The sequence below is a fragment of the Homo sapiens genome, chromosome 5 (genome assembly GCF_000001405.40).
Source record: "Homo sapiens chromosome 5, GRCh38.p14 Primary Assembly".
Lineage (NCBI taxonomy): Eukaryota > Metazoa > Chordata > Mammalia > Primates > Hominidae > Homo > Homo sapiens.
Window position 1 is genome coordinate 83,193,087 of NC_000005.10, and position 12,963 is coordinate 83,206,049.

Consider the following 12,963-nt stretch of genomic DNA (forward strand, 5'->3'; position numbering starts at 1 on the left):
AATATTTTATACTTCTCAACTCATTAAGCCTGATGAGGCCCTTTTTGAAGTCCAGTGCATCTAGGCACGTGGCCCCTTGCATCTGTAGTAATGTGCACAGCCTAGAACAGCAGCAGTGAAGGTGAAAGAGTGCCTCCTGCTCCTGGCTATGCACCGTGTGTATACGGGCCAAATACTTTTGAGAATTAAAAAAAAAAATTAATCTGAGTATTTCAAGTAAAATCCTTTTCTTTGATTAAATTTATAGATACTTTTAGTTTATTTTTATTCTGTAGAATAACAGATGTCCTTATCTATTGAAGGACTAGAAACTGGTGACAATAATTAGAAAATAGATATAAAAAAAGTTGTATACTTTTAAGAAGAAATGACATTTCATGTTTATTTTACACTGATTAGCTGCAAAAAGATCTAAGAGGGTTTTGGAATTTTTCATCAGTGTGTTTGAGTGATATTTTGAAAGAAGTTGTTATTAGTGATTTAAAATTAGTCCTTTCTTTGTCATCTGAGATAGAAGTGTAGAGGGCTGGACTTGTTTATCTCTTCATTTGTATTTTACTGATTATTTTATTTCAGGATCAAAGTGTGGGATGAATTCTTTATCCTTTTGGCATTTTGAAACTTTTCAAATGTTAAAAAAAACTTTTTATTTCTAAAAATGTCCACTTCTCTCAAAGCTACCTGACAATTGTTAAAATAAAAGAATACAAAACCACTTTGTGGGTTTATGTTTTGCTATTGTAACCTATTGTCTAAAATAAAGTAAGCTTATTTTTTTCTCCTGCTTTGTATCAACTCAAAACAATAATATTCTGTAGGTGACTTTTTTTTTCCTTTTTTTGTTTTTGTTGTTGTTGTTGTTTTCGAGACTGAGTCTCGCTGTATCGCCCAGGCTGGAGTGCAGTGGCACAATCTAGGCTCACTGCAACCTGTGTCTCGCGGTTCAAGCGATCCTTGTGCCTCAGCCTCCTGAGTAGCTGGGCTTATAAGCGTGCACCACCATGTCTGGCTCATTTTTGTATTTTTAGTAAAGACTAAACACTGTCTTTACAACACTGTGTTGGCCAGGCAGGTTTCGAACTCCTGACCTCAGATGAACTCCACCTGCCTTGGCCTCCCAAAGTGTTGGGATTACAGGAGTGAGCCACTGTGCTCGGCCAGGTGACATTTTTCTTTAACTTTGTGTGTATATTTACACTCAGAGAGGTTTCAAAAGGTAACTGTTCAAATTTACTTTCAATTTATTTATTCTTTATATAGGTAAAACTTTCTTATTTAAGCTTATATGCCTGTTAAGTGGACTCATATTTCATTGCATGAGAAAACTGCAATTGCTTTTTCAAACTGTACGAATGCAGTTTCACAGTGGATGTCTAAGTGAAGTCTGCTTTTATTTGTAAATTGTGTAATAAAGATTTGTCTCAAAATTATCAACCATATTAAATATTTCTTAATCTGTATGTAATATATTTATAGAAATATTCTTTTAAAAGCAATACCTTTTGGAAATATTCTTATCAGATAAATGGCATAATAGAAATTCACAATCTAGGAGGCAAAAAACAAAAACCCAAAACAAAAACAAAATCAATTCTCATTTTACTCTTCTACGGACTCAGTGCTACCAGCATCTTTCTTTGGAATTATGTGTAGGTTCTGAACCTAATTCTTCCCCTACTTTTTGTCTAGTTGGGATACTCTCTTACCAAGAAACAGCACAACAGCATAGCATAGCAGAATCTTGACTTTACCCCTTCAATAACTTGGATAACTACTCTGAACCTGAGTTTACTGATCTATAATGTGGATATGATAATAGTTCTCTTACGGTGAAGATTTATCCTAGTTTATATTTTTGCTACACTTGAGTTACACTTCAACCAAAAGATGTGGTAACTGAATAATAATCATCATAATTTGTTATCTGTTATAATAATTTTAAGGATAAATATAATCATTATTACTAATCATTGTGTTTCGGCATCCTTATCAGCCAAATGGGGAATACCTGTGTTCTCTTCAGAATTCCATAAGTGTACTAAAACTATTTGAGTATTTTATTTTAAACTGTACCCTAGTAGAGGAATTAAGGTATTTTTAAGATTCTTACCTTTATGCAAAAGTACTAAAGCTTGACACTTAACTTTATTATTGGCAATTTATGGTAATAAATTATTGTCTTTAGATAAAAGAGTAATTACTGTGTAGCTACTAGTTTCCTAAAACTCTACCTTTCTCTTAGCTATAACAAAATTTTGAGCTTTCTTCAACAAAAGGTCAGTTATTCCATTTTAGCATTTACATGAACAGAAATTAGAGTTAAAATTATCATATATAATTCCTTTTCTTATTCTGAGCAGAGAGACTTAAAATTAGGCTTTAGCAAACAGATGGTAGTAAGCTTATACAGTATTTATGTTGCTTTCTTTTCTGCTAGGAGATGGAAGAGTGACTTACCACTTACAAAAATTATTCTTGGGCTATATGTTGATTTATATGATCAAGTAAGAAACTTTAGGTAGAAGCCCAGTTTTTTTGCTCACTGTTTGTATATCTTGTAAATGCATTGTATTTAAATCCTTCTTACACTTTTTTATTCTCAGAAGAAATTGTGTATGCTTAAAACCAGGCTTCTCAATCTTGATATTTTCCCCAAATTAACCATGTTTTTCTTTCATTTTAGTTCAGACTTGGTTCCTTCAACCTAGAGAAAGTTGAAAACCCAGCTGAAGTCATTAGAGAACTTATTTGTTATTGCTTGGACACCATTGCAGAAAATCAAGCCAAAAATGAGCACCTGCAGAAAGAAAATGAAAGGCTTCTGAGAGATTGGAATGATGTTCAAGGACGGTGTGTACACAGTTTGCTTGTGGTATAAAAATACGGAGCCCTCTTTATGTTGTTATAGCTTTAAGTTAATGATTGGTAAATTTCCAATATATGTGGATTAGCACATATATATTTACCTTAACTGAATATGATTAAACGAAATTATTCATCACTATTGTATATTATAGGAATACATTAATACATTATGTCATTAGTATGTGGTGGCACCAGCAAATTTATAAACAATAAGGATTAATTGGGCATTGAAGATCAAAACCCATTAATACTAATAAAAGATTTAGGTAGTAAATATTTATTAAGATTAATTCAGCTCAAATTATAGGATTAATAATGAATGAAAAAGAGACATGAAATAAAATAAGCATAATTGATTTCTCATTTGGGCTCAGTGAGTGGCATCTATTTCAAATTACAGTGTTTTGGCTCCTAATAGACTTATTTCTCTGGATTTATTGAAAATTCATACTATACCATTTTTAAAGGATGAGCTAATTGTGGCTACTGGATAAGACATTTGGAAGCCTTTTATTTTTATGGCTTTGCCTCTTTTTAAATGAGGAAGAAAAAAATAATTTTTTTTTAAATTATGAACTTTCTCAACTAAATCCTAATCTAGGCTGGCCCAATGTGTAACCTTTATTATTCTATTAGTATAAGATATTTGAAGGAAATAAAATGCATGTTGTGAACACTTGTATCCTCACTTATAATATATATATGTGTGTGTGTATGCACACACATATATATACAGTGAGAAAGAAAATGATGTCTGAAAAATTATGTGGAATATATATATAATAATGATAATAATTATTAGTACATCCAGTAGATTTTTTAAATCTTTTGCTTAAATAACTCTAAAGCATGGGAACAGTTTATCCAACATATTTAGGGTCTTTTTAGCGCAACCATTGTGATTGCTCTGTATAGACGTTAGTGAGTATATGTGAAAGTATATGAAAAATGGTGACGATTTTACCACTATCAACATATGTATGTGAAAATGAGGCTGACTAAAAGATTATTTTTCTGTACATTCAATTATATTTATTAACTAATGCAAAACATGTAAAATTAAGTTCCTAACATCTAGTGTTATTTGGCTTTCATGTATTATATTAAGAAAGTGGTTATTTTGTTCTATCTTAGATCTACATTTTTATCTCCAATTATTTATATATGTTATATATAAATAATATAAAAATGAGACCAAATCCAAACTGTGTATCAGGAAACCATGCAGAAAAAGTTAATTTTTCTCTTTAACTGCTGTTTATTCATAAAGATGATTTCAATGTGATAGTATGAATCAGTATCAGATATCTGTACTACAAAGCATTTCTTGGACCTGTATCTGTAGCTTGGGTGTATTTTCTATTTAATATGTGAAATAAATCAAATTAAAGGAGATGTGCTATGGTCGTGATAAGCCATTATATTTAAAACTCAGAATACCCTCAGGATGATAGGAAATTTGATCCACAAATTGCCTACAAAAATGCAGACTGGGTACTTGGTACTTGAACAAATTGCTTTAAAATGTCTGCCAGAGGTTGAAAGAGGTATTATCTCATCAGTATTCAACACCACTCCCATAGAATTGAAAGCAGCAGGGAACGAAGATGGGGAATTAGAGACAAATGCACCCTGTGCTGTAACAGTGTGTGTGAGGGGCACATATTATATGTGGCTCACAGATGCTTGATTTGCTATTTCTGGACTATCCAGCAAGTGCTTTTGTCTTGTTGTGAAGAGATTTCCTGTTTGATCAAAAGCACAGCCATGTACCCTGTCACCTGCTTTATTATGATCCAGCTATTTTTTTGATAGTACTGTGTCAGATGTCTTCTTCAGGGTCTATAGATGTGTGCCAGTGGGTGGCCCTATGTCCTGAGAGGAAAGAGAGTCCACTCCAGAGAATTCTAGTCTCTTTATTGTATTCCAGATCTTAGATTAGTAGCTTTAAATATTTCCCAAATTTGATTTTCTTTCCTTTCAGAGGACAGAGGCCACTTTAAGGAGCTGTAAATACATCTTGATCATGGCCAAGCAGCAGTTTCTTAGTGTTCCCTCACTAGAGCCTTTGCATGCTGGAAAGGATTTACAGCTTTAGCTTCCATAAGGCAGTAGTTCTGATTAAGTGTCTTTAGGGAGATTAGAAATAGGACATGAGCATATGGAGTTAGGTAACTGGGGACATAGAAAGTAGAGAATCATTAGAGTTGGGGCCATGATGTTAAGCCTGGCAATAGTTAATTTTGGGGGAAGCCTCCGATTATTTTTGGGTCAGTGTCCATTCATGATCCAAACATTTCTTCTATACTACATATGAAGGGATGGGAGGGTGGTGTTAAAATAGTGGGGAAGGACACAATGTAAGGGATGGGAATTCCCATAGAAGCGATGGTAGATGGGTCTGAGATACATTTACTACCCCATAGGATATTATATGAGAATAAAATAGTTGTGTACACATGTGTTTATTAGCATGGAAAATGTTGATCATATATTAAGGTGAGATGTGCATCACCACAAATATAAACAATATCCCATTGTTTGCAAAAAAATATATTTATATAGAGAGTATCTGGAAGAAGAAAATTAAATGTTAATAGTGTATATCTGGAATTGTAGACTACATTTTCCTTTAATTTTGGGGAGTATTTTTTGTATATGTTTTAGTATTTAAATATGTATCACCATTATAATCAAACAATTATAAAGCTATTTTCATTTGGGATGATGGTGGAGAATAAACACTTGAGTGAGGAATGAGAAATTACAGCATAAGTAAAAAGTGTGAGCTTTAATGCATAGAATTTTAACATATATATTTGCTGTTATTTTTAATTACCACTTAATAATTGTGTTCTTGGCTCCATTTTGAACAAGTGGCATCAGTGGATTAATTTTGTATAGTGTAGATAAAGGAGGAAACATTTAAGATGTGTACGTGAATCCTTAGGTTACTGGCTATATTTATTTCATGGGTTTTCTACTTAATTACAAATAAAAACTCTCAAGTTCCATGTTACTGAATAGGTGTTTTGTTTGCACTCAGACCTCTACTTAGAAATTACCTGCCTTTATTCTGAGTTATAGTTATTAAACCCATAATTGGAGGCAGTTTTCAGGGAATTGGGTTGACACTCACAGAATCATCAAAATAAAAGACCTTGAAAGCTCTTCTACTTCATCTCTCTGCCTTCAAGATACAATCACATTATATCCAGATGAATTCAGTCCGATTTTTAAAGACCTCAAGAGATATCTTCATCTCCTCTTGATAGCCCGTTACAGTGTTTAAGAACTGTCGCAGTCAGAAAATTCTTTCTTCCATCTATGGGTAATCTGAATCCTTCACGGTATAGTTGAAGGCCATTTCCTCTTGTTCTCTTGTCAGAAAGGATGAGGAACAGCTGTTCACCATCTTTTTCCGTACTTAAAGCCTTATTAAATCTCTTTACCACTGCTTGCTTTTCCAGTTCTTTTTAGCTTTCTTTGTCTTCCCAACTCTATTCAGACTTTCTTTTGACATACAACCCTGACCTGGGCCAGATATAATTTTGGCCAGAACTGATTATTAATTTAAGGATTACTGCACTGTGTCTAAATACCATATGTTCACATTTATATATCTATTATTTTATTTTGAGCTATCATTTAATCTGTTGTTTCATTTTTGGTGTTATTTCTGCATGAAATTGTTGTGTTTTTCCTCCTAGTTTGTTATTGTTTTGACATGTTATTCTTAGATTGTTTTCCCACCCAGAGACATTTTATTTTGAATATTCAGTATTTTTTTGTATTTTTTTATCCTTTTAATTTTTTAAAAAAAATTACTATTTTTTTGTCCAAGGTTTTAGATACCTCAGTGCTAGGTTGCTAATTAAATTTAGCATTATTGTTCTGTTTTCCTAGTTATTGTAGAAAGGATGAAGTATCATTAGACCTTTCTTGTTTGATGTTATTTGTGATTTCGTCCCAATTTGAGATTTGCCTGGATTTGATCCTTGGACTAGTGTGGTCTGATCTAGTTGTACATGGGCTTTTTGTTAGTGTCACCAGACTTAGCAGTGAATCCCATGTCTCTTCTCCACTAAATGTTCTCACCTAACAGTTCCTGTCCAATTTCTTGAGGCATAAGCTTGACAGGAAGCACGTAATGGAATGCATAGTAACATCATAATGCTCTAGGAGAGGATTGGCATTAAAAATTAGGTGGGAATGATACGACATACCTCTTAGTTACTGATTATTGGATAAAAGGATAGCATTCTCTGAGTCTTGAAAAATTAAAAGTTAAGAGTAAATTCATGTCATGCAACTGTTCACACTAATACTTTTTCTCCAGTCAGCTCCCGCTCCCCCACTTTTCTAGGAAGTGTTGTCCAGTTTGATGATCAGAAGTTTGGTTGCAAAAAAATCCTAAAGCTTTGCTGAAACCAAGCAAGGTTAACTCACATGATACCATTCATTCTATTGACTGTGTTTTCCTGTCACAGAAATGTTTCCTTTGACAACATAGATCTGATACTGGTTACTTAAGATTAACAATATTCTTTAGGAATATTATATGATATTTCATTTTCATATTTATTTTCACTTTGAATGTGTCATACCAAATGTTAATTTTAATAAAGGTTTGGGAATTAGCTTGTTAGTTGTTAAGTACACATCATCATTCAATCAAGAATTATTGAAGTGACTTATATGGAAATTAAATATGGACTTAAACCAGATAAATTACTAATTGGTTACCATTCCTAAAATTTAATATAAGAAATTGTAATATATTTGTTTATATGTTTTCACATATTGGTTTTTACTTTGCATATGTTTGAAGTATGTTATTATATACTCAGGTATTTCAGTAATATGTATGTTTTAAAGTTTTTTGTTGTGTTTTTTTGAAAATATTATAGGAAGATAAGAATATCATGCTTACGTAACACTGAATCTGAAATATAAATGTAGTGACATGTCTTTGCTTAAAATAAACTATCAATATTGCTAGCTCCTTTTCAATATTCAGTTTTTTTCTAACATCTTTCGTGTACTTCTTTCTCAGAGAACTTTGCTTAATGAAGGGAATACTGTTAGATTGATATTATTTGCCACAGTTTTTTTAAAAGCTGAAGATGAAAAACATTACTTTTACAATGGTGAATAGCTATTAAATGAGGGAAAAAATACAATATTCGGAATCACTGTTTTTCTGTTTCCTTATAAGATGTCAATATTAGCCATTCTCCTTGGCTCTTCTTCTTTGCTGGAGGGCTATAGTCAGCCATGGTGCCCAGCAGGAATGGCATAATCCTGAAGCCCCACTTTTGTAAGTACTGGCAGTGGCCTATAGCAATATGGTTCACCCAGCCTGCAAGGAAGAGCCACAGACATGGGACTGGGCAAGCCCACTGCATTGCCCGGTGCCTTGTATCTGGACCCACTGGCCCCTAGTAAAATGCCCCACATGAGGTTTCACACCAAGTACAAGCTGGTAGGGGCTTCAGCTTGGAAGAATTAAGGGTGGCCAGCATCCACAAGAAGATGGCCTGGACCATTGATTTCTCTATTGATCCAAGGAGGTGAGACAAGTCTACTGAGTCCCTGCAGGCCAATGTATAACAGCTGTAGGAGTACTGCTGGAAGCTTATCCTCCTTCTCTAGAAACCTCAGCCTCCGAGAAGAGAGACAGCTACACTGAAGAACTCAAATTGGCCATCACACTGACAGGACCGGTAATGTTCATATGAAATACCTATACGAAGGAGAAAGCCAGAGTCATCACCAAGGAGGAAGAGAACTTCAAGACTGCCACGTCAGGCCAGGTGCGGTGGCTCACGCCTGTAATCCCAGAACTTTGGGAGGCTGAGGCAGATGGATCACGAGCTCAGGAGTTCGAGACCAGTCTGACCAACATGGTGAAACCCTGTCTCTACTAAAAGTACAAAAATTAGCCAGGCATGGTGGCAGGTGCCTGTAATCTCAGCTACTCGGGAGGCTGAGGCAGGCGAATCGCTTGAAACCAGAAGGCAGAGGTTGTAGTGAGTGGAGATCGTGCCACTGCCCTCCAGCCTGGGCAACAACAGCGAAAGTCTGTCTCAAAAAAAAAAAAAACAAAAAACCTGCCATATCAATGCCTGGCTCTTTGGCCTCTGGGCAAAAAGGACCAAGGAAGCTGCAGAACAGGATATTGAAAAGAAAAACTAAAGCACTGTTGAGGCCTTGTAATAACTCTGCAGAAAAGCTGGGAAAACGAATAAACCACTGGGAAAATAAATAAACCAAAAAGATGTCCATATTAATTTATTCACTTTATTCGTTTGTCTAATAAGAACCTACCAAACATCTGTCGAATGCTAAACACTATGCTGGGCACTGAGGATACAGTGGCCAATAAAACACACATGCTGTCTGCTTTCGTGGAGTTCACATCTTTGGCAAAGACTGTGCTGTAAGAATTTGCTGAAATTGGTCCCAGAGAATATATTGCCATATTTTCCTTTTTATCCTATGATACGTTCTAATTCTTTGCATCTCTAGATAGGTAGATTGTTGAAAGTTTAAGGGCATGTATATAAAAGCTATCTAATTTGGACATTTGTGTTTCTAATTTCACTGAAATATATATGTGTGTGTCTATATATGTACACACACATATATATTACTACTGGTATATATGTGTGTGTGTGTTTATGTACAGTATAAAAATACTAGGATACCTGTAAAACAACAACAATGTAAATAAGCAGTATGAAACAACATTGAAAAGAATACATAAAATAATTTGTATTTGAATCAATAAAATAGGAATGTATTCATCATGTATGTGTATGCATATATTAAGTATATACAACCTCAGCTATTTTGCTTTCTTTATATATCTCTTGGGAGCTTAAAATAAATACAATCCCTTGTTAGCTCATTTGAGCAGTATGGGATGAATTAAAAACAATAGAGAATTTTGTATGTTTTGTCTTACGTATCTAAATTTGAAGATATGTAGTGTTTTACATTTGCTGTTTTATTAATCTCTCCTTGAATATATCAAGTAGAATACTTTCATTGGGTATGTGTATTGCATTTCTATATGTATTTGTGTGTGTGTGTGTGTGGTGCTCGCTTATAAGAATATAACTGGATAAGTCGTGTTCTTGTTGTGGAGCAGTTTGTTGTCTAGTAGATAAATCAGACAAATTAGCTATGTTGCCTTATCACAAAATAAGATTGTAGTTGCTTTTATAGTAATATTAACATAGTACTGAGGAAACAGGCTACATTTACTCTTGTTTGAAATTTATCCCATAAAAACATTCTTTTGTAAATAAACCATATGTATCAATAAATTATCTTTAGGCATTTTGATTTTCTAAAGGCTTATTTGTATCAGTTTTCAATTTTGATCCTTATCTCAGTAAATAAATTACATTAATAACCAATAATTTCTAATTGTGTATTTAACCATCTTTATAAAACTTCCAAGTCAGTGAAAGCATATGTGAAAATAATCTTTAATTGTATTTTCCTTGAAATCTTCTTGATTATTAGGCTGAATTATGTTAATGCTAAGCAGAACTGCATGACTAATTTGTTTACTTATTTACTTTTTTAGATTTGAAAAATGTGTGAGTGCTAAGGAAGCTTTGGAGACTGATCTTTATAAGCGGTTTATTCTGGTGTTGAATGAGAAGAAAACAAAAATCAGAAGTTTGCATAATAAATTATTAAATGCAGCTCAAGAACGAGAAAAGGACATCAAACAAGAAGGGTATTTTCGCTATCTTGTTTTTGGATGACAGATGAATACATTTAAGTGGAATTTCTTCCCAAAGTTAATGAACATTAGATGCCAACTTTTTGATCATATGAGATAATTTGGTAGTCTGGATGTGGATGTTCAGGCTGTTAGATAGGGGTACCATGGGCTAGAGAGTTCTCAGCATGGTCTCTCTATGTCTGCTCAACTGTGTCACCTACACTTAAATTAAAAAACTGACATGAGGCTTATTAAAGTATTATTTAATTCTTAGACATTAGTAAGACATACTAATTTAAAAAAAAACTTTCATCTGCAGAACTACAAAAGTTGGATGCATATTTGTAATCTTGATGTCTAGGCAATGATTAACTTTAGAATCAAGTGGTTAATATTAAATTCCAGGGAGCACTTATTTTATCTGATTAGAGTGTGATTATCAGTTTTATTCTTCTTTCACATATTCTCTGAAAGTACATATGTACTTGATTTTTATGGAAGAATCCTAAGTGACAAATGGCTGATACGGCTTTCGACGATTATAACTTTTTTACGCATTAGCAAATACAAGTTAGGGTCTGTTGCTTTGAATCTTAGTAGAAGTACAGAATTACCAGTGACGTAGTATAAAAAAATTTGATATCAGCTAGTCCTAGCACAGGTACTGGTCTTGCAGTCATACCTATTAGTTTATAGCTTTGGACAAGTCACTTTATCTTCATAATAAAGGTAAAGATACCCATCTTAGGGTTTTGCAGAGATCAAATGAAATGCGAACTGTTCTGAGATTAGTAAAATGTTAAATACTCTGTGACTCACAGAGATAATTTGTTAGAAAAAGTATTTTGATGGAAGAATAGTACCTGATAAGAAACTGATTTAATATTAATTATAATAAGTACTAAATTCAGATTAAAATTAGGTAAAAGAGAAACTTGTTCTTAAGAGAGTTAATATATAGGTTTTAAGATGCTTTCATCTAAATCATATATATTTTCAATATGTTTGTCTAATTAGAATCTTTTTCTAGGAATATTTTCTATAATTGCTTACTGATAAATCTGCTGCCTAGCAGGGGGTGAGCCAGTTATTTATAATTCTACCTTTCTCTGTTTCTAGGGAAACTGCAATCTGTTCTGAAATGACTGCTGACCGAGATCCAGTCTATGATGAGAGTACTGATGAGGAAAGTGAAAACCAAACTGATCTCTCTGGGTTGGCTTCAGGTAAGAGATACATACATTTATCTCCTCTGTTGAATATCTTATTTGGGCTTCTTATTCTAATGACAAGAAACCATAATGGAAAAATGTTGTGAAAGACCTTATTCTATGAAAATTCTTTAGCATTTTTATTTTAAAAACTCAAATTTTTAATGTTAAAACTTAATATTATTTGTAAAATGCAGCAACTCATTAGCACAGCAGTGTGAGCAAGCATTCATACACATATACTCCAAGGTATACTATTCCTGGTTAAATATAACCAGGAAAAGCATAAGCAATGAGGAAGAAACACCTTTATGCTAAATATCATCAGCTTAAAGCTGGTTGCCTTTAACATTTGAGATCTTATTTAGCTAAAGCCATGAATAGGCCACTGGAGCAGAGTAATCAAGAATGCTCTAAATTATACTGAAGTTGAGGCCTTCTTTCACTCTTCAGAAAAAAGATTGCAACAAGTGAGATGTAATAGAGGAAAAGAGAAGGGGAAAAATGGCAGTTTAGTACAAAGTACCTATGACTTACTCAGTCCTTTGGATCAAGTTCCCAGCAAGTGTTTAAACCCATGAGTTATTTTTTAAAATGTTTTATAGATTTCCTAGTGACGGTGGAAACAGGAGCCTCTGAACTCATTTTATACTTAGATGGTTTTGACCTAAAACCAATACTATTAAAATAAATGCTTGATTTATTTATTTAGAAAATATTTTTGAGTTCCTATTATGTACTAGAAACTTTGCTATGCATTAGACAGCAAAACACAAAAATCTGTGCCATTGTGGAGTTTAAATTGTAGTCAGGGAAACATATAAGATGAATAAATATAAAATATGTTAGGTTGATAAGTGCTAAAGAGAAAAATAAACCAGAGAAGGCGTTAGAAAGGTCAGGGTGAGAATAAGGATGAGGGTTATGATTTTAGCCAGACTATCAGAAAAGGCCTCAGTGAGAAGGTGAAGGTGACATGCTGTCTTGGGGAAGACCATGCCAAACAGAAAACAAAAACAAAAACAAAAACAAAAAAACACTAAGTACAAAGTTCCTGACGCGTTTAAGCAATACTATAGAGTGTAATCTGGATAAAGTAGAAAGATGAAGACTGGGAGAATTAGGAAATGAGATGAGAGAGAT

At 33.5% G+C, this 12,963-nt stretch overlaps 1 protein-coding gene and 1 pseudogene across 13 annotated transcripts in view; both read left to right on the forward strand.

Moving 5' to 3' along the window:
* The window catches only part of XRCC4 (X-ray repair cross complementing 4), a 296,927-nt gene that overhangs the window by 115,540 nt on the left and 168,424 nt on the right, over positions 1–12,963 (forward strand). For all 13 annotated transcript variants that reach the window (XM_047417695.1, XM_017009827.3, NM_001318012.3 and 10 more), the window contains exons 4-6: positions 2,684–2,850; positions 10,466–10,621; positions 11,729–11,835. In XM_047417695.1, coding sequence (XP_047273651.1) covers positions 2,684–2,850; positions 10,466–10,621; positions 11,729–11,835 — 430 coding nt within the window. The remainder of the gene's footprint in view (positions 1–2,683; positions 2,851–10,465; positions 10,622–11,728; positions 11,836–12,963) is intronic.
* Positions 8,143–8,675, forward strand: RPL13P9 (ribosomal protein L13 pseudogene 9; annotated as a pseudogene).